Genomic DNA, 22,962 nt, shown 5'->3' with positions numbered 1-22,962 from the left:
CAAAATATTTGCTTACATCAACAAAGATATTTATACACTGTATCATTGTAATAACAAAAAAATGTAAATAGTCAAAATGTCTATAAGAAAGATTAAATATACTGTGCTACATACAAACAATGGCACACTTTGGAGCTTTAAAAAAATTTATGGCCTGAAAAAACCTCTAAGACATTTTAAGTTAAAAAACGAAGTTTCTGAAAATGTATAGTGTATAATAGTATTTATTTAAAAATTATATCTGTATAGCAATGCATATAAATGTAAGTAAAAGGGTTTTTACTCTATATACTTTTACATAGCCTTAATCTTTAAGGCAGAAAATACATTACTATTTTACTTCTGTAATAAAAATGATTTAAGAAATAAATGCATTTTTAATTGGAATGAAATTATCTCCCTGCTCACCTGATAGATGTTGTAAGTTGTATTTATGCTGTATCCTGATCACCTATAACTAGCATAAGAGTTGGCCGTTTATTGTTGGTAGGTCTCTATCTATTAATGAATGAATGGATAGGAACATAGTAAGAATCCAATGAAGGGATGTTTGTAAAAGGCATAAGGTATTTGTGTGACAGCAAAACTTGACTTTAAATGATGAGAGTAAAACTCTAGGAATGCATGTGTCTCTGATGCCAGGACAATTGACTGAAAAGTGAAATCTTTGGCCAACCAACCAGTTGTTTAACTGATTAGTTTGGTGACTTGGAACAGGATAGGCCTAACCAGACCTGATGGAGCCCTAATATCCCTGCTCAGAATTGTGTCCATGTTTGTGGAACAGTTACATCCATCTCCCAAACCATAGGAACAGATTATCAAATCAGACAAATATGAGATTTATCACTTAACGTGTGGACTTCTAAAAATACAAATGAAACTTTCCTCTAGCTGCAACCCAAACCTCAAATTTATCATTTATATTATTTTTTCTTTAAGTTCCAAATTACTAACCATGTAATACTATTCAAGAGGTATTCAATTTATATGTACATAAACTTGTCTCAGGAAAATAAATTTCCATAAAATCAAAATTTATTGTTGGGGTGGAAGATCTAAGAATTTTGGGGATCAGTTGGGTAATGTTACTGTGTGGTGGTCCTGGATACAAGACAAGAAGTGACGGGGTCAGTAGGTAAGTGGAGGGTACATGCACTCAAAAAGTGCCTCAGGTTCAATTTTTATTTTAAACCATGTGATGGCCAAACATAATTGGATATGGCCAGTTGTGACCCCCAGGCTTAATTGCTATAAACTCTCCATTCCATTAGAATCTTTTCATTGTGACCCCCATCCCAGGCCACTCTCCTTTCCACCTTTACTCTTTTGTGCCTGCTGTTTTGTCAACCAGAAATTCCCTCTAAGTCATCTGCCTCCAAATGGCAATCATTTTGCAAAGCTGAGATCGTATTCTACCTTTCGGGCAAACACTCTCAAGAACTTGCCAGCCACTGATTTTCTCCCCTCAATCCCCAGAGAATGCTTTGTTTGGAACCATTGACTCTCAAAGTGAGACAAGGAGTTAAAGGTCTGTAATCCAGTCACAGATATAAATCATATCCAATATGATCACATGAGGTTGCTCTGCTTAGATCTGATGATCTCAGGAGAAGGTGGGCAGTTGAGGAGGCAAGTTCTTCCTCATCTCTTGCCTGCTTCTCTATATCTTCAAGTCACTGGTTCTGGTCCAGCATGTGGGAATCATAGTCAGGAGCAGCCTATGTATTGTTGTGCCTGCCCAGTATTGACTAGCAAAGTGTTTTTTAGAAAAATATAAATTTATTGTCCAAATTTTAAAAAATCAAGAGAACTAGCATAAAAATCCAGATTTCTAGTTTCTTTTGGAAAAACTGGAAGATGTAGGAATATTGGGAGAGTGTAGATACATCTCCTCTGACAACAATTAAGCTGGCATTAAGAAGCGGCTATCCCTCCCCTTAACCCAGGCACAACACCTCCAAACTGAGCCTAGGGACCATTTGCTATGGGGTATTGAGTTTGAACAGTGGCTTTTTATGAAAGAGATAAGAGGAAAGGCAATATATTTTGTGCTCATGTCTCTATCAAGGAACGAAATGTGAAAGAGTGAGACTTTCCTCACTCACATTGCCTGCCCAACCCCTGTGGAAATTTGAATTTGTCACCTGTAATATTGAACAAGAGTACCCTCTCCTTGATATGAAAGCTGTTTAAATAATAGAAAAAGTAAAACTATCAAAAAGAATTAAATGTTGTCTCCTCTGCAAGTTCCTACTTCAGTTCTGTATAAGATATAGTTCTGATTCCCTTCATCATTGTAGTTGCTCTCCTGTGAACAAGTTTACTTCTATATTTTCAAAAGTGCATTAGAAATTTTGACCCAAATGCAGGGATTATTTTTAATCCCTACTAAGTTTTGTTTGGATTTATGCAAGGCACTTGGCCTCTCATCAGTAACTTGCGGACTAATTTGAAGGATTTAGAGTTAGATGTAGGCAAAATTAAGTAATTGGGTATTGATTTATTTAGCAATAAAATCCAGTATTTCTAGTAGCTTTGCAGAGAGCTCTATTTAAGGACTTATCCTGTTTAATATTTTTATCAGTGACTGAAATCATGGGACCGATTGCAGGCTTGTCAAATTTGCAATTGATATGAATCTGAGAGGTATAGCAAGTATACTAAATAAAATATCAAGATTCCCAAAATATAGCAACGAGCTGGAAAAAGACTTCTTGTGTATTTAAGGTTAGTTTGACATAACTAGTCTCTGAATTATTAATTATATTTTAATCATCCTACCAGATTTTGTTTTAAGCTATTAACTGATAAATAATCTTAGGTAACAGCATTTCCAAAGAAATATACTGTAAGCAAAGTCTATCATATTCAGAAAATACATTGGAATATGAATTTATTTTTTAAATTTTTTCAAATGATCAAACTCAAAAGGGAGCTATAAATCAGAATTCCATTTTCCCCCTCAAATTTTCACTTAGTAAACTCAATCCAGGGTCTGAGAGTTAAACTCTGATTATTTTTCACCATGAACTGCATTATCATTAACAAAATTGATCTTATCTGAAAAATCTCACCGATAATAGTCAAGGCAGAAATAATCTACCTTAGCTTCTGTGATAAAAGAAAAGGCTTTATGCTCCTATCCACAAGAATCACTTCTTCACCCCAAATAAACTGGCATGTTCAGAGCAAAAAGACAATTCACTAAAATGGAAGGTATTTGTGGTTATCCTGCACCTTCCTAGAAGGTGGTTACATTGCTAGAGCAGCTCTGCAGTTCTTGAGACACAATCAATCAGACAAGTGGTTATTTTCTGCTGTTGCTTCTCTGGGTTTTGCCTCTTTTCCCTACTTAAATGGCTTGGCTTAAGGAGTTATTTAAATAAATGTGAAATCTCTGTATTTCAGTTCACTTCACTTCTCACTGAGTTTGAAGCATCTCCTTGATGAATAACGCAAAGATAATTATTATAAAGAATAACAAAAGGTTGTCTGTCAGTTTTTTTTTCTCTTTTTCCCCCAGGCCAAGTTGAGGATAAATGGTTGTTGAATTAACAAAAAATACATGTTTTTGTTTTTTCATTGAGCCTCATATTAGCCACTAAGGAAGTAAAAATAATATAATTGGATTATCTTTCATCTCCTTGCCAAAAATGATTTCTCTGCTGCTGTGTCTTGACATCCTCCATTGGTCCTTCAGATTTACAGCCCTAAGAAGACAAGGAGTGCTTCTGTTCTGGTCACCACTGAATCCCCAGTGCCTAATGCCTGGCTCATAATAGACTCTTAATAAACACTTGTTGAGTGAATGAACATCTCAGGACCTTTGAACATGCTATTCTTTTTGTCTGGAATTCTCTACCCCCAGTGCCACCTAAAACATCCCACCATTCCACCCTCTTTCTTTCCTGGACAGCTCTTTCTCATCTGTCAAATGTCAATTTAAATGGAGTGTCTTGGCATGAATTTTGCCCGACTATTATAGCTAGTAGATCTCTCTCCCTTGCCCCCCACTACACACATACACACACACACACACACACACGCACACACACGCACATATACTGGTAGGGCTACCAGATTTAGCAAATAAAGATGTAGGACACCCAGTTAAATTTGAATTTCAGATCAATAATGAATAAAGTCTTAGTATTTAATATTGGCAACTCTAAATACTATGCCCCAATCGTAGCACATATCATAATTTGTAATTATATTTTGTTTACTCATTTATTGTCTATTATTCCCTAATATATTTTAAACTCCATGCTAGCAGGGACAATGTCTGTTTTGCTCACCAACCTATACCTTCGTTCAGCACAGTTGTCTGCACTAGTAGATACTCAGTATGTACTTGTTGAGTCAGTAGTTTGGACCTCAGACAAGCTGTCAAGCTTATGATTGTCTATTAATTGATAAATTATTTGGGTGGACAGGCCATTTATTTATTTAGTGGTTCCCCCGTGTGGTTACTGATTAGAGTCAGTTACATTTTTAAGACATTACCTTATCTCTTGATGATGTCACCACAAAAGTAACTTCTCTACATGCAGATGTTACAGAGGAAAACAGGGAGATGGTCATAATTTACCCCAAAAAGACTAAATAGTTAAATTTCGATAGTGTAGCTCCTTTGCTGATGATTGATTTAATCTTTTGGAAAAAATATATATACTTAACTGAACTACATTATTATTATTTTTGCTCAATAAGAAGTTTTGAATATATTAATCTGGGAGAAAATAGAATAGTATTGACTGTAATATTTTAAATACATATTTAAATACATTCCTTGGGCCTGATTCACAGCATCTATAAAATGAGACTGTTGACAAAATGTCTTCTAATTTTATGTTATGAACTCTGATACCACCAAAGTTTAGGCCATAAAATTATTTTGCAGTTCAAAAAATGATTATTCTAACAGAAATAATCAAACATAGTCATTTAAATGACTAAAATATGTCTCTATAGTCCATCTTACTAACGTTAAATATGATAGAGTGAGTGTTTATAATACAGATGGTCTCCAATGTACAATGCTTTGAGGTAATGATTTTTCAACTTTACAGTATTGTCAACTCTAAATACTAGAGTGTTTAGCGACACTCATTCAGTAGGAAACATACTAAGAGCACCCATACAACCATTCTGTTTTTCACTTTTGGAACAGTATTCAATACATGATATGAGGTACTCAACATTATATTATAGGCTTTATGGTAGACGATTTTGCCCAAGTGTAGGAGAATGTAAGTGACCTGAGCACATTTAAGGTAGGCTAGGCTAGGCCATGATGTTCCATTGGTTAGGTGTATATTAAATGCATCTTCAACTTAACGATATTTTCAACTTACCATAAGGTTATTGGGATGTAACCCCATCGTAAGTGGAGGTGCATCTGTACCCTTTCTCTCCTTTTATCCCTCCATCCCTCCATCCTCCATCTAGCTGTCCCTTAGGAAAACAGCTTCTGCTCCCCAGTTGCTCACATTCTAAACAAAAGCATGCTCCTTCCCAGCAGTTACAGTGAGAAAGCCGTATTTTCCTAATGGTGTTTAGAAGGGTAAAATACATAATACATTAAATTAGATAAATCAAATACAATAAATACAGATATATTAAGTAAATAATGGGCTGCCCTCCTGGCAGCTCACAGTTTAATTGGAGAAGTAAATGTTCACCTCCACCCAAGCTCATTCATTACCAGCTTCCAACTATTTGTTTTAGCTCTTTGTATTTTATTAATTATTTGTGTTGGTCTCATTCACAGATGAAATTTTTCACTTGTAATTCCTCAGAACTAAATCCATTCATAGGGAATTCAGAGCAGTGCAAAGAAATTTCACACCATCCAGTAGGAAATGACAGCAACAATGAAAAGGAGCGGGAGGGGCCTGGGGATCAGCCAATGGGACCAATTCAGTTCTCAACTGGTGTTGGGTTTTGAAAAGGTTGCCTCACTCTAACCTGTACAGCACAGTCCTTTGGGATCTTTGGCTCTTCCAATTTCATTTTGTTAGTGAGAGGTCTGCCAGAAAAGAACCACCGCTGACTACATAGTTCCACTCCTTCTGCTGCGAGTCACCGCCTCTGCATGTGGCATACTGTGTCTGTGCTGCACACCAAAAGTTTGAGGGCTTTGCCTGTGGCAAGACACAAACGGAGCTGACATTCATAACTAGAATTGGGTGGTGGCTGAGGAACATTCAGAGTCTCTATGTTCTTTTTCTCTGTCATGGTGATTGCTGCTGCCAAGCAATAGATTGGAAGCTGATATCTATTCCCCAGTTCATCATAGCACTCTGTAAGTGCACCATGTATAATGTTACATTTGCACTATCAATGACTACTTGTGCAAGTTCACAATAACTTCTCTCAAAAACACGTGCAATAGCCTTCAAGAAATCCCAAATCTCCTTACGGCTTTGAAAAGCTAGTGCAGTCGGCTGGGCGTGGTGGCTCATGCTTGTAATCCTAGCACTTTGGGAGGCCGAGGCGAGCAGAACACAAGGTCAGGAGTTCAAGACCAGCCTGGTCAATATAGTGAAACCCAATCGCTACTAAAAATACAAAAATTAGCCAGGCATGGTGGTGCACGCCTGTAGTCCCAGCTACTTGGGAGACTGAGGCAGGAGAATCATTTGAACCCAGGAGGCAGAGGTTGTGGTGAGACGAGATCATGCCACTGCACTCCAGCCTGGTGACAGAGTGAGACACTGTCTCAAAAAAAAAAAAAAAGGAGCTAGTGCAGTCTCCCAAAATTCAACCCTCTTGCTGCCCGGTTGTCTATCTGTCATGGGATAGTAAGTTTTCCTTTTTTGTTTCTCCTATTTCTTTTTTTTAAATTATTATTATATTAAGTTTTAGGGTACATGTGCACAACGTCCAGGTTAGTTACATATGTATACATGTGCCATGTTGGTGTGCTGTACCCAGTAACTCGTCATTTAACATTAGGTATATCTCCAAATGCTATCCCTCCCCCATCCCCCCACCCCACAACAAGCCCCGGTGTGTGATGTTCCCCTTCCTGTGTCCATGTGTTCTCATTGTTCAATTCCCACCTATGAGTGAGAACATGCGGTGTTTGGTTTTTTGTCCTTGCGATAGTTTGCTGAGAATGATGGTTTCCAGCTTCATCCATGTCCCTACAAAGGATATGAACTCATCATTTTTTATGGCTGCATAATATTCCATGGTGTATATGTGCCACATTTTCTTAATCCAGTCTATCATTGTTGGACATTTGGGTTGGTTCCAAGTCTTTGTGACTGTGAATAGTGCCGCAATAAACATACGTGTGCATGTGTCTTTATAGCAGCATGATTTATAATCCTTTGGGTGTATACCCAGTAATGGGATTGCAGGGTCAAATTGTATTTCTAGTTCTAGATCCCTGAGGAATCGCCACACTGACTTCCACAATGGTTGAACTAGTTTACAGTCCCACCAACAGCATAAAAGTGTTCCTATTTCTCCACATCCTCTCCAGCACCTGTTGTTTCCTGACTTTTTAATGATCGCCATTCCAACTGGTGTGAGATGGTATCTCATTGTGGTTTTGATTTGCATTTCTCTGATGGCCAGTGATGATGAGCATTTTTTCCTGTGTCTTTTGGCTGCATAAATGTCTTCTTTTGAGAAGTGTCTGTTCATATCCTTCGCCCACATTTTGATGGGGTTGGTTGTTTTTTTCTTGTAAATTTGTTTGAGTTCATTGTAGATTCTGGATATTAGCCCTTTGTCAGATGAGTAGATTGGAAAAATTTTCTCCCATTCTGTAGGTTGCCTGTTCACTCTGATGGTAGTTTCTTTTGCTGTGCAGAAGCTCTTTAGTTTAATTAGATCCCATTTGTCAATTTTGGCTTTTGTTGCCATTGCTTTTAGTGTTTTAGACATGAAGTCTTTGCCCATGCTTATGTCCTGAATGGTATTGCCTAGGTTTTCTTCTAGGGTTTTTATGGTTTTAGGTCTAACATTTAAGTCTTTAATCCATCTTGAATTAATTTTTGTATAAGGTATAAGGAAGGGATCCAGTTTCAGCTTTCTACATATGGCTAGCCAGTTTTCCCAGCACCTTTTATTAAATAGGGAATCTTTTCCCCATTGTTTGTTTTTGTCAGGTTTGTCAAAGATCAGATGGTTATAGATATGTGGCATTATTTCTGAGGGCTCTGTTCTGTTCCATTGGTCTATATCTCTGTTTTGGTACCAGTACCATGTTGTTTTGGTTACTGTAGCCTTGTAGTATAGTTTGAAGTCAGGTAGCATGATGCCTCCAGCTTTGTTCTTTTGGCTTAGGATTGACTTGGCAATGCGGGCTCTTTTTTGGCTCCATATGAACTTTAAAGTAGTTTTTTCCAATTCTGTGAAGAAAGTCATTGGTAGCTTGATGGGGATGGCATTGAATTTATAAATTGCCTTGGGCATTATGGCCATTTTCACAATATTGATTCTTCCTACACATGAGCATGGAATGTTCTTCCATTTGTTTGTGTCTTCTTTTATTTCATTGAGCAGTGGTTTGTAGTTCTCCTTGAAGAGGTCCTTCACATCCCTTGTAAGTTGGATTCCTACATATTTTATTCTCTTTGAAGCAATTGTGAATGGGAGTTCACTCATGATTTGGCTCTCTGTTTGTCTGTTATTGGTGTATAAGAATGCTTGTAATTTTTGCACATTGATTTTGTATCCTGAGACTTTGCTGAAGTTGCTTATCAGCTTAAGGAGATTTTGGGCTGAGATGATGGGGTTTTCTAGATATACAATCATGTCATCTGCAAACAGGGACAATTTGATTTCCTCTTCCTAATTGAATACCCTTTATTTCTTTCTCCTGCCTGATTGCCCTGGCCAGAACTTCCAACACTCTGTTGAATAGGAGTGGTAAGAGAGGGCATCCCTGTCTTGTGTCAGTTTTCAGAGGGAATGCTTCCAGTTTTTGCCGATTCAGTATGATATTGGCTGTGGGTTTGTCATAGATAGCTCTTATTATTTTGAGATATGTCCCATCAATACCTGATTTATTGAGAGTTTTTAGCATGAGGGGCTGTTGAATTTTGTCAAAGGCCTTTTCTGCACCTATTGAGATAATCATATGGTTTTTGTCATTGGTTTTGTTTATATGCTGGATTATGTTTATCGATTTGCATATGTTGAACCAGTCTTGCATCCCAGGGATGAAGCCCACTTGATCATGGTGAATAAGCTTTTTGATGTGCTGCTGGATTCAGTTGGCCAGTATTTTCTTGAGGATTTTTGCACTGATATTCATCGGGGATATTGGTCTAAAATTCTCTTTTTTTGTTGTGTCTCTGCCAGGCTTTGGTATCAGGGTGATGCTGGCCTCATAAAATGAGTTAGGGAGGATTCCCTCTTTTCCTGTTGATTGGAATCATTTCAGAAGGAATGGTACCAGCTCCTCCTTGTACCTCTGGTAGAATTTGGCTGTGAATCCATCTGGTCCTGAACTTTTTTTGGTTGGTAAGCTATTAATTATTGCCTCAATTTCAGAGCCTGTTATTGGTCTATTCAGAGATTCAACTTCTTCCTGGTTTAGTCTTGGGAGGGTGTATGTGTCCAGGAATTTATCCATTTCTTCTAGATTTTCTAGTTTATTTGCATAGAGGTGTTTATAGTATTCTCTGATGGTAGTTTATATTTCTGTGGGATCGGTGGTGGTATCCCCTTTATCATTTTTTATTGCGTCTATTTGATTCTTCTCTCTTTTCTTCTTTATTAGTCTTACTAGCGGTCTGTCAATTTTGTTGATCTTTTCAAAAAACTAGCTCCTGGATTCATTGATTTTTTGAAGGGTTTTTTGTGTCTCTATTTCCTTCAGTTCTGCTCTGATCTTAGCTATTTCTTGCCTTCTGCTCGCTTTTGAATGTATTTGCTCTTGCTTCTCTAGTTCTTTTAATTGTGATGTTAGGGTGTCAATTTTAGATCTTTCCTGCTTTCTCTTGTGGGCATTTAGTGCTATAAATTTCCCTCTACACACTGCTTTGAATGTGTCCCAGAGATTCTGGTATGTTGTGTCTTTGTTCTCGTTGGTTTCAAAGAACATCTTTATTTCTGCCTTCATTTCATTACATACCCAGTAGTCATTCAGGAGCAGGTTGTTCAGTTTGCATGTAGTTGAGCGGTTTTGAGTGAGTTTCTTAATCCTGAGTTCTAGTTTGATTGCACTGTGGTCTGAAAGACAGTTTGTTATAATTTCTGTTCTTTTACATTTGCTGAGGAGTGCTTTACTTCCAACTATGTGGTCAATTTTGGAATAAGTGCTGTGTAGTGCTGAGAAGAATGTATATTCTGTTGATTTGGGGTGGAGAATTCTGTAGATGTCTATTAGGTCCTCTTGGTGCAGAGCTGAGTTCAATTCCTGGATATCCTTGTTAATTTTCTGTCTCCTTGATCTGTCTGACGTTGACAGTGGGGTGTTAAAGTCTCCCATTATTATTGTGTGGGAGTCTAAGTCTCTTTGTAGGTCTCTAAGGACTTGCTTTATGAATCTGGGTGCTCCTATATTGGGTGCACATATATTTAGGATAGTTAGCTCTTCTTGTTGAATTGATCTCTTTACCATTATGTAATGGCCTTCTTTGTCTCTTTTGGTCTTTGTTGGTTTAAAGTCTGTTTTATCAGAGACTAGGATTTCAACAGCTGCCTTTCTTTGTTTTCCATTTGCTTGGTAGATCTTCCTCCATCCCTTTATTTTGAGCCTATGTGTGTCTCTGTATGTGAGATGGGTTTCCTGAATACAGCACATTGATGGGTCTTGACTCTATCAAATTTGCCAGTCTGTGTCTTTAAATTGGAGCATTTAGCCCATTTACATTTAAGGTTAATATTGTTATGTGTGAATTTGATCCTGTCATTGTGATGTTAGCTGGTTATTTTGCTTGTTAGTTGATGCAGTTTCTTCCTAGCATCGATGGTCTTTACAATTTGGCATGTTTTTGCAATGGCTGGTAGCAGTTGTTCCTTTCCATGTTTAGTGCTTCTTTCAGGAGCTCTTTTAGGGCAGGCCTGGTGGTGACAAAATCTCTCAGCATTTTCTTGTCTGTAAAGTATTTTATTTCTCCTTCACTTATGAAGCTTAGTTTGGCTGGATATGAAATTCTGGGTTGAAAATTCTTTTCCTTAACAATGTTGAATATTGGCCCCCACTCTCTTCTGGCTTGTAGAGTTTCTGCCGAGAGATCAGCTGTTAGTCTGATGGGCTTCCCTTTGTGGGTAACCCGACCTTTCTCTCTGGCTGCCCTTAACATTTTTTCCTTCATTTCAACTTTGGTGAATCTGACAATTATGTGTCTTGGAGTTACTCTTCTCGAGGAGTATCTTTGTGGCGTTCTCTGTATTTCCTGAATTTGAATGTTGGCCTGCCTTGCTAGATTGGGGAAGTTCTCCTGGATAATATCCTGCAGAGTGTTTTCCAACTTGGTTCCATTCTCCCCATCACTTTCAGGTACACCAGTCAGACGTAGATTTGGTCTTTTCACATAGTCCCATATTTCTTGGAGGCTTTGTTCATTTCTTTTTATTCTTTTTTCTCTAAACTTCTCTTCTCACTTCATTTCATTCATTTGATCTTCCATCACTGATCCCCTTTCTTCCAGTTGATTGAATTGGCTACTGAGGCTTGTTCATTTGTCATGTAGTTCTCGTGCCTTGGTTTTCAGCTCCATCAGGTCCTTTAAGCACTTCTCTGCATTGCTTATTCTAGTTAGCCATTTGTCTAATTTTTTTTCAAGGTTTTTAACTTTTTTGCCATGGGTTCGAACTTTCTCCTTTAGCTCAGGGTAGTTTGATCGTCTGAAGCCTTCTTCTCTCAACTCGTCAAAGTCATTCTCCGTCCAGCTTTGTTCCATTGCTGGTGAGGAGCTGAGTTCCTTTGGAGGAGGAGAGGCACTCTGATTTTTAGAGTTTCCAGTTTTTCTGCTCTGTTTTTTCCCCATCTTTGTGGTTTTCTCTACCTTTGGTCTTTGATGATGGTGACATACAGATGGGTTTTTGGTGTGGATGTCCTTTCTGTTTGTTAGTTTTCCTTCTAACAGTCAGGACCCTCAGCTGCAGGTCTGTTGGAGTTTGCTGGAGGTCCACTCCAGACCCTGTTTGCCTGGGTATCAGCAGCGGAGGCTGCAGAACAGCGGATATTGGTAAACAGCAAATGTTGCTGCCTGATCGTTCCTCTGGAAGTTTTGTCTCAGAGGAGTACCCAGCCATGTGAGGTGTCAGTCTGCCCCTACTGGGGGGTGCCTCCCAGTTAGGCTATTCGGGGGTCAGGGACCCACTTGAGGAGGCAGTCTGTCCGTTCTCAGATCTCCAGCTGCATGCTGGGAGAACCACTACTCTCTTCAAAGCTGTCAGACAGGGACATTTAAGTCTGCAGAGGATTCTGCTGCCTTTTGTTTGGCAATGCCCTGCCCCCAGAGGTGGAGTCTACAGAGGCAGGCAGGCATCCTTGAGCTGTGGTGGGCTCCACCCAGTTCAAGTTTCTGGGCCACTTTGTTTACCTACTCAAGCCTTGGCAATGGTGGGCGCCCCTCCCCCAGCCTCGCTGTCACCTTGCAGTTTGATCTCAGACTGCTGTGCTAGCAATGAGCGAGGCTCCATGGGCATAGGACCCTCTGAGCCAGGCGCGGGATATAATCTCCTGGCGTGCCGTTTGCTAAGACCATTGGAAAAGCGCAGTATTAGGGTGGGAGTGACCCGATTTTCCAGGTGCCGTCTGTCACCCCTTTCTTCGACTAGGAAAGGGAATTCCCTGACCCCTTGTACTTCCTGGGTGAGACAATGCCTCGCCCTGCTTCAGCTCACACTTGGTCGCTGCACCCACTGTCCTGCACCCACTTTCTGACACTCACCAGTGAGATGAACCCAGTACCTCAGTTGGAAATGCAGAAATCACCCATCTTCTGCGTCACTCACGCTGGGAGCTGTAGACTGGAGCAGTTCCTATTCGGCCATCTTGGCTCCACCCCCCTGTTTCTCCTTTTTCAAAGGCTGGTTACCACCTAGAGCAACTCAGGTGCCCTCTGAGTTCTTGCTGAGTCTGCCTGAGGAGTTGTTCTGGATGCCCACACCCACGTGGGCTCCCTGGTGCTTGTCCACCACCTCTGGGCGCTTGTCTGAGCTCACCACCACAGGTCTCTGTACAGGTGCACTACTCCTCTCACTCAACACAGCCCAGCCCCCTGCTGATTTTTAAATTTTAACACTTGAGTGTTTACTATGTGTTAGTACTGATAAGTGATTTACATATCCCAGCTCATTTAATAATCCCAACAACTATGCTATACTTACTTCTTATCCTATTAATAGATGAGAAAACTGAGGTTCAGGGAGGTTCAACTACTTGCCAAAACCCCTCAGCTAGAAAGTGGAGGAGTTTAGGATGGATCAGATATATGGTATATTTTGAAGTGAGGTAAATGAATTACATGTCAAATGAAATAGATCAAAAAAGTCTTTTAAAGGTAGGATTCTCCCTGCAAATGAACAAAAGGACTATAGCATCACTCATGGAGGCAGGGGCTACCAGAAGAAGGATTCTCTCAGCCTCTCACTTCTCTTCTGTGGCTAAGATACAGCTGTGTTAAGGGGTTTAGTGGGAAGGTATTAGGTGACCAAAGACACCCAGGTTGAAGCTCCACCTCTGCCACTTCCTAATGTTCCTGGACAAGTTTCTTACCCTATTTGACCTTCAACAAAATACAGGTGCAACTTTGTGAAAACTTAATGCGATGGGCTCTTTGTAAACTGTAAAACATGATGAAAATGGTATTTATTACTTGGCCTCTTCTGTTGGCGGGACCAGAAGTTGCTGAGATACTGAGAAAGAAAAGGGTATGCTTAGAAGTGCTTCGACTTGGTCCTTTCTTAAACTGCTGTCCATGTGGGTGGTCCTCTGGATTCAGCTGGAAAAGAGTGGAGATTAATGAGAGCTAGTTTATCCTCTTACCCAAAGCTATTGTCCTGGTAAAATGAGGATTTATTTGCCTTTCCTCGGGATTGACACAGCATGACACCATGAGATGAATTTTTATCTAGGGCAACGCAAATCATTGTATACATGCATTACACAAAATAAAAGCTTCTGTAAAGATTTTAATATTTGACTGCTATGCATGGAAAATGTGTCTGCATTATGTATACAATGTAAATTTTTGCAAATTTGAAAATCCCATTTTCATCAGACAAGCATAATGGTTCCGGTTTGCTTTGCGTAAGCTTCCTTTTTTCTAAGTATTAGTTAGTGTTTGGAAATGCTTTTTCTTTCTTTATTCTCCCTTACACAAACAAAATTACTCTGCTTAGAACATTTATGACAAGTTCTCTTAAAAACTGAACACTGTCTGGGATTTTGCTTGAGAAACTGTATAATCTTTATAGTGGCAGCATCTTCTGTGTTTTCTTTTTAACCTCCTTGATTTTCCTCTTGTCTTTCAGTTACTCCTTGTGGACATTCTTCAACATCTCTCTACAATATCAATAAAATACAGGGCTTAGAAAACTACCTCAGCAGCTCTTCTGAATGAGTTAGATAGAGGTGTGTAGGTTGCTAAAGAACAATTCTTTCTCTTCTGTAAAATTATTTTCACTGTTATGATGAGCTTGATTGTGGAAGCTATCCCAATTTTCAAAATGCAGGGTTTCATGGTTCTGCAGTCCCTTTGATGTGATGCTCCATGGAAACTGCCAATTCTCTCTTCAGAAGAATGGTCTAAACCCTCTGAGTCTTTCACTAGGCCAAGTAGATAGGAAATTCTATCTGCTTGCTTTATTTCTTCTTCAAATAAATAGCTATTTTGATATTATTTCTGTGTTCACAGATGAAAGTGGCATTTCAGTTTTGTAAGGTGATACTTCTTACTGTTAGATGAGGATATCTTTGAAGGCTCATCAGGATCTTTTCATCAGGCAAGAAATGTCTCCCCTGTAGTGTATCCAAGGAGGCTGAGAAGAATGGTCATTCTCCTGTCATCGTGCCAGGTTGGTCCTAAGGCCACCTCTCTCTCACCAGCAGGAACCACCTTTTGTCTTCTAGACAGAATTAGGAAAGAGTGGGAAGTGGCAAATGAACTTTGTACTGTCTTTGAGCCCCTGTGGGATGTCTGTGGTTTTCTACAGTTACCAGACTTTCCAATCTGGAATGAACATTGGGCCCTGAGACTCCTGACAAAGCCCCTTCTCCCTTCAGCTACCCTAATATTCTACTCCTATTATGGAAGGCTCTGACCATTGGCATCGAATACTTTTCTTTACACTCCCTTCCAAAGACCCTCTCTATACTCCTCCAACTTCTGATCTCCAAAGCTCCCAATGTATTTAATATAAAACTCTCTTGACACAAGTTCAATCAGTTGGCCACATAAAGTAGGCCTTATGCATTATTGACTTTAGGACTCTGTTGAGAATTCCCTAAGAGGGCTCAGGAAATGGTCTATATTAATGCTTTTCCTCCCACGGTTCCAGCACTCCAAGATCTCCTACTTGTATCTCAGTCTCAGCTGTGTTCTTGGCTGTCATGCAAATATTCCTAGGATCCATTTTCTCTTTACCTTCACTCTGATACCACTTTATGATCTCCCTCAATCCTTTCTGGACTTATTCAAAAGCCTCTTAAGTGATCCCATTGCCTCTGGACTCTCTCTCCTGTAGTCCATTCTTTATGTTGCTATCAGTCTTGTTCTCTAAAAGACCAGTCTTGTCAGGCCAGAGGCCAGTGGCTGCCTGGCGTCTCAGGATCAGGTTGAAAGTTCTTAACAAATAATTCCTAGCCCTTCATTGAATCACTACCACCTTTATCTCCAGCCTCTTCAGGAATTTGTAAACTTAGATTCCTACAGGGCTAAGGTAGATAGATAAGTGAAGTAGGCTGGGAGAGAGTGGGAAGGACAACGGGAAAATGGAGAGCCCATTCCCCACCTTAAGGCAACTGCTGCTTTTTAGCTCTAATTCTTGCCATGCTGAAAAGTAGGTCCAAAAGGGACAGATCTGATTTTTCAAAAGAAGTTAAAAATCTGGATTTTCTATGTGAATTCTCCTAATTTTAAAATGTTAAATGTATTTTCTTTTAAACTAATAAATGAAAAGACAATGAGCAGACTAAATAAAGCATAGCAATCAGATGAAGCCCACGGGCCACCAGTGTGCAATCTGCCCCCTGCCTCCATCTATTCTAATCCAGGGTTCAGTCAATGTTTTCGTGTAAATGGCTAGATGGTAAATATTTTAGGCTTTATGGGCCATAGGGTTTTGATGGCAATTACTTGACACTAGTTGTAGTGCAAAAGCAGCCATATGCACTAGGTCAATAAATGGGCATGGCTGGTGTTCCAATAAAACTTTATTTATAAAAACAGAATGGATTAGGCTGACTATAGTTTGCTGACTCTTGCCTAATCAAAGTAAGATATCTGATACTTCTCTAGAGACTCCACGTGATGATAGATTCTATCCCTTTACCCAAAATGGCATTTCCTCCTTTATTCACCTGGCTCATTCCCTAGGCATCCATCATCAAGACTGAATGCAAAACACCTGTCTTGGAAAACATGCCTGACTCTTTCTAAAGCCCAGCTGTGTTAGGTGCCCTCTTGGCTCCCATTTCATCCTGAGCATTCTTCTTATCACACTGTGCTTTCTCTTTTGTTTTATTTCTTGGTTTCTCTGACTGGAGCATGATCATCTCTCAGGCAGGCACTTATCTAGTATCTAATTTATTGAGCAAAAATGAGCAATTGATAAAAGATACACGTAAAATTTAGACATCTAATTTAACAATGTCAAACAAGGAGATCTCTTCTTTATCCATATTTATGAGAGGTTTCTAAGGTGTCACTAAACATCCTTGGGAGAAGCCAGGAGGAGTTGTTAGCCTCCTAGGCCAGGATTTAGGGAAAGTGAGGTCTGTGCTGGGCTCTGCCAATGACCAGCACTTGGCTGAATCAACTCTGTCACTTTCTAGACCTCGATTATTTATTTCCATAAGTCAGCTCGGCATCATGATCCCTAAGCGTCCCTTCTATTCCCAAAATTCTCTGGGAAATTTTCTCGACATTTTAAGCAGCATAGACTGTATATAGGTTAACCCTTTTTAATGCCATAATCCAGTGATAACCTCAAAGATTATTGAGGACATATGGAACTATTTGCCTCTTCATTCACTGTCCCCAAGTCATTTGTTTTGAGGAGTTTTCTGGGGGTGTTTTTGGTGTTTGGGGATGTTTTTAAAAAGCTTTCTCCTCCTTCAATTTCAGTCATAAATTTTTGTACTTCTAGTAGTCTCCCAACTCTTTCTAATTCACTGTTTCTAATGTTTTACATTATAAAATCAGGTAACCAACCTTCTCTAAACTTCTTAGAATTGTGCAGATGGTAAAAGTGAATGAAAGCAGAATATTGTACTGTAAAGAATATGAAATTTAGGCCCAGGGCAGTGGCTCATGCCTATAATCCCAGCACTTTGGGAGGCCGAGGCGGGCGGATCACAAGGTCAGGAGGTCGAGACCATCCTGGCTAAGATAGTGAAACCCTGTCTCTACGAAAAATACCAAAAAAAATTAGCTGGGCGTGGTGGTGGGCGCCTGTAGTCCCAACTACTTGGGAGGCTGAGGCAGGAGAATGGCATGAACCCAGGAGGCAGAGCTTGCAGTGAGCCGAGATTGTGCCACTGCACTCCAGGCTGGGCAACAGAGCGAGACTCTGTCACAAAAAAAAAAAAAAGAAATTTAAAGTTATAAATTTCAGATGAAGACTCAATTTTTCCTTTTGTTATTTACACTGTGCAGCCTTGGAGAAGGTGCCTAATCTCCCTGAGCACCTATTTTCCTCATCTATAAAATGAGGATAATCATATATACCTCCTGCAGTTGTTTTGAAAGTCAGTGATGATAAATTTGTTTATAATACTTAATAACAAAACGCATCAAATGATACTTGCTACATTTATTTTGCTATTATTATTGACTCTGAGTTATTGTCACATTCAGGCCTCTTGAGTGGTTCTAGTTAACCAGGTTGCAGGGGGATGCTTTTCCTCTTCCATCCAATTCCAGTGATGAGTCTTAGACACAGTCTGATGTTCAAGCAGTTTGTTTCGCCAGCGCTCTTACAAGACAGAGAGGAGGAGCAAGTGGCATAAGGGCATGGGCAAGATACCGTCTGGGCCAAATGATTACTGCCTGATGGAGAGGGTCTCCATCTGTGGACCATTCTTAGAGTTTGGAAGATTTCTGTTCTTATACCTGTATTCAATCTCGGTCAGTTACCAGGTGATTCATTCATAAAGTGAGTTTGAACTATTCTTGGAAGGATAGGCTTTGTTGTAAGGCTCATGAAACTTGCATTGAGCCAATAATAATGTTTCATCTGCTTTCTTAACCATAGGCGTGGTGGTGACTGTCAGTGCCTGTGGTGTGGCCAGTGCACTTGGGATTATCATTCTAAATTCACAGGCCTCTGGGTCTGCTAGGTTTAGTAACGAGACTCTGAGGCAAGTTGGCTGACTTGTATATGTTGTTCATGGGCTGCTGCCAGCAGCACCAAGCAGGCATCACTGTGGGTAGCACACCCCTGGAGAAGCCATGCTGTCTCCCTGTCCCACCCCCAGTGTCCATGAGGGCCTATACCAAGAACCCCGTTTCTTCTTATTTGCAAGAGGACCAGTGCATTCTGAAGGACTCTGAAGAACTCTGAACATGACAGTTATCACCTGTCATAATTTCAATACATGGACTTAAGCTTTCATAACCTTTTCTTAAATTTCAAATTTCTGGGCTCATGGCTATCTTTTGAAAAGCTTAGTCAGATAATATCTCAGAAAACACCGAGTACTCCACCTGATACATAAAAGGTTACCATAAATGTGGAATCTGAATTGTTCATTCGATTCCCCATCATGGGAGTGGAAAGTTTCTGATTTCCTAACTGTGGTTTATATCTGTCTCACACTAATAGAGAGATAAAAAACCTTATATCATCTTGGATCCCTATTGAATACCATGAGAGTAAAGACATGATCCAATTATAGCACATTCAGAGGGCAATTTCTCCTCTTTTTATTAGGCAGTCAGTAAGATGTACTCTATTGTCTGTTGGAGAACTATGAATTAAAGTGCCTGGAATCTGAAGAGAGCTCTGTACAGCCTATTTTCCCCCAAGCCGGACATATCCTTGAATATGCTTTGTGGCTCAGTATGAAAGAGAGGCAGAAATGGTTGCAAGCCTGATCAAATCAAGGCACTGATCAAAGGACTAAATATACAGCTTGCCAAATGATGCATAGCAAGGGTGAGAGGGAGAAAAAGGATCAAAAATTGATACAGGCATAGCAAAAATGAGTACACAACCTGTGTAGAGAGCTAACCAGAAACAGGAACATGAAATTGAGCCTAGGAAATGCTAGAAATACCTGTCTTAACCCTCAGAGATGGTACCCTTATTGCCTGCCTTGGTGAAGTCTCCCAGAGGAAACTAAGGAAGGACTAAGTTTCATTCAGATGATGTGTTTCTGCTGTGGAGCTGAGGGACAACTAAAAGCACAGCAGAGGTAACATAAAGAATCTGTAGGAAAGAAATTATAACATTTGAATAGAAGAGAGATACACTATGTTGTTGGATAGGAAAGTTCAATATTAAAAGTGCTAATTTTCCCAAAATTAATTTTAAAATGTAATTCAATTCCCATAAGAATAATAGAGCTATTTTTTTCTAGAATGGACAACATTATTTTAATTTCATATGAAAGAATAAATGAGTTACAATAAGGTCTAAAGCAATTTAGCAGTAGAAAGAATAATGGAATAAAAAATTATAATTATTGCAATGTGGTATGAGGATAGGAATGGAGAGGTCAAATGAATAGAATAGGACATTCAGAAAAAAAAAAAGAGAGGCATGTCTGTGGACACTTTTGCACATGTACTCCGTGTTTAAAAGTGGCATTATAATTCAGTGAGAAGAGAGGAAAGAGATGAAGTTGAGCCATTTAGCTGTCCAATTATAAAAAAACAAAAGAAAGTTATAATTCTACCATCAGACCTTACATGAAAACAAATTCCAGATTATTTTTAAAATGTAAGAAATACCAGACTTACTACTAGTTAATACTACCTGGTAAGCACTTAACATACCTTTCTGGAAGATTTTGTGGTCATAAAACTGGATTGCAAAATTTGAGAAGTTTCAACATATTCTGGAGATTCTGGTTGCCAGAGCTTTAAACATATAAAAGTCACAGACTGTTTCACAACAGTCTTAATTTTCTTTTCAGTAAGCTAACATCTATAGTTGCTAAAAAATTAAACCACTTGCTATAGATATTTGAAATTCCTTTTTCACATTTTTGTTTAATTCTAAGATGCTTTTTGAAAAGAAAGAAAGGGAGAAAAACAGAGCACACCTCAGACCTCTTTGAGTTAAAGATTAATCATGCAATTTAAACCATAGCCCAGCATAAAGATGGAAAGGTAATTGATCATATTAAAAGCAGTTTGCCATAGAAAAATGTTTTGTATCTTTCCAGTACTTCCTGGAGTCAAAGAATCAAACTGAGAAGAAAATACAAGCAGTATGTTATTGGGAGGCTATTACAATCAGCACAGCTGTTTCCAAATTGTTTGTCACATATTTCAGCCCCTGCTGTGGCCTTTTTTTAATATATATCTTTCTACATTAGGGGAAAAAATCCATATCAGTCCAATTTAGTGTTCTTAAAGTGCTTCAGGTTTATAAGATGCTTCTTTAAGCAAGTTGCTATTGAGATAATTCTTTTTGTTTATGTGTAATATTCAAGTTGAAATCACAGTATTCACCTCTATCTGGCAGGCTGGAACATTCTGGTGAGAGATGTCACAAAATTTGCCCTTAGGGATGTATGAAAATGTAGCTTGGTGTGAATTCAACTGGGAATTCCCATACCTGTCATTTCAAATCGGCTCAGACTAGTTGCAGGTATTTTGGTCTGTTTTGCTATAAATAAAGGGATACTATGAAATGAAAATACACATAGTTCTGTTGGAGAAACTTGAAATCACTTCAGAGAAGCAATTACTTACCTCTGCTTTCGATCAGGCATCCATGTTGGTGGTCTGGCATCCGAATACCCAGACGCCTCTTGGAAACATGTTGGAGCACAGGGGTACCACCCTGAAGATCAATGTGAGCTCAAGTCACACCAGCTCTTATTCACTTAGGGTTATCCCACAAGTGAGAGAGAGACTGTCTGAGGACACTAGGATTGCATGGAGTTTGGTTCTTCCTCCCAGACAATATTCCGTTTAAATGGGTTGCACTCATGAAAGTTCATGTTGGTTCAGGGTTTGAGACTTTGAAAGAAAAAGGTTGAAAATGCAAAGTTTAACTGCTATGCTGCTGTAGTGACATCTATTTCTCTTCAAACTTGACACTGACAATGGCAATCACTGTCTGTGCAGGTGAATAGGGTCAACGCCTCTCTGTAGAGACCCACCCTCTATAGGGGCAAGCTAAGAGGCTATCTTGGCTAAGTCTAGTACTCACTATCCATTCTTTAAGATGTTTCTGACATTGATGACTGACCCAAGGCTTTAACTTCAAAGTTTCCTAGGCCAGGCATGGTGGCTTATGTCTGTAATCCCAACACTTTGGCTTGAGACATTTGAACCCAGGAATTTGAGACTAGCCTGGGCAACATAGTGAGACCCTATCTCTAAATATTTTTTTTCTTAATTAGCCAGGTATGGTGGTGTGTTCCTGTAGTCCTAGCTATTCAGGAGGCTGAGACAAGAAGATTACTTAGACCCAGGAGGTCGGGACTGGAGTGAGCCATGATCGGATCACTGCACTCCAACTTGAGTGACAGAGTGAGACCCTGTCTCAAAAATAAGGGGGTTCTTTCCTTTAATCTCCAGTTACTTTGTATAACATTATTATACTTGATTTCTTGACCTTCCATCCAAGATCCACTCTGAGTCTACCTATTATTTTTATTCAGGCTCCCAGGCTGTAATTAAGACATATTTTATTGTCTTCTAGTTTTCAGTGCTGTTTTCAGAAATCTACTGCTGTATGATTTTTATCACTGCATTTGTGATTTATCTTTTGTCTCTCAAGAAATCATTTAGACTCTTATCTTTATTTTATATTGAAATATCACAATAATGTGTCTGGTATAATGCTCGTTTCTACTCATCATGTTTCATGTTTGGGCCCTTCAATTTAGAAATTCATATCTTGTAATGTGGAAAATTTTCTCATGCCATTCCTTTGATAATTTCATCTTTTCTCTCTTCTCTTTCTTATGGAACCTATTTAGTAAAAATATTGGACCAACTGATGTGATCTCATCTTTTCTCTTCTGCTTTTCAATTCTTTATATCACTCACTCAAACATCTTTTTATCTATATTCTATCAATATAAATATTTTGTGGAAGATTTCCCCAACTTTATGTTCCAATTTTGAAATTTTCATTTCAATCCTTGTATTTTTATTTCTAAAAGCTTTTTTGTTTTTCTGAAATTTTTTTCTAGCCTTCTATGCCCTTACATGAATGCAATATCTTCTCTTGCCTCTGAAAATATTGATAATAGTTTTTGGAAGTTTTTTTTGGCACCTTAAATTGTGTTTGCTTTCTGCAATTTTTTTTTCGGTCCTTTTGATTCTGTTTTTCCTCACTTCTGTAGAAAGCCCAGACTGAGTAACCGTATTTAAGAGGGAGGTGAAAAAGAAAGAGGGACTGGAGCAGGGGCAAGTTCTAAGCTCATCAACTGGTGAGCCTCACTGTAGGATAACTAAGAAATCTGGCCTTTATTTGAAGGCACCTCTAAATCTCATTATCTGTGAACCAGTCTATTTCTCCAGATAATTTCTCTCATAGGAGGTTTAAGTTGAATGCCAACATTCTGGGAGCCCTGTGTGGAAAGGGGTCTGGGGTTCTCACAGTTCGTTCTATGGATTTCACTTCACCAAC

General features: G+C 39.2%; 1 protein-coding gene and 1 pseudogene across 5 annotated transcripts in view; one reads left to right on the top strand and one right to left on the bottom strand.

Moving 5' to 3' along the window:
* Positions 1–22,962, top strand: part of SLC9A9 (solute carrier family 9 member A9) — a 583,247-nt gene that overhangs the window by 214,848 nt on the left and 345,437 nt on the right. The window lies entirely within an intron of this gene.
* On the bottom strand, positions 5,929–6,449 carry UBTD2P1 (UBTD2 pseudogene 1; annotated as a pseudogene).

The sequence above is a fragment of the Homo sapiens genome, chromosome 3, assembly GCF_000001405.40.
Source record: "Homo sapiens chromosome 3, GRCh38.p14 Primary Assembly".
NCBI lineage: Eukaryota > Metazoa > Chordata > Mammalia > Primates > Hominidae > Homo > Homo sapiens.
Note: the sequence above shows the minus strand (reverse complement) of the source record. Positions and strands in the feature narration are given on the sequence as shown.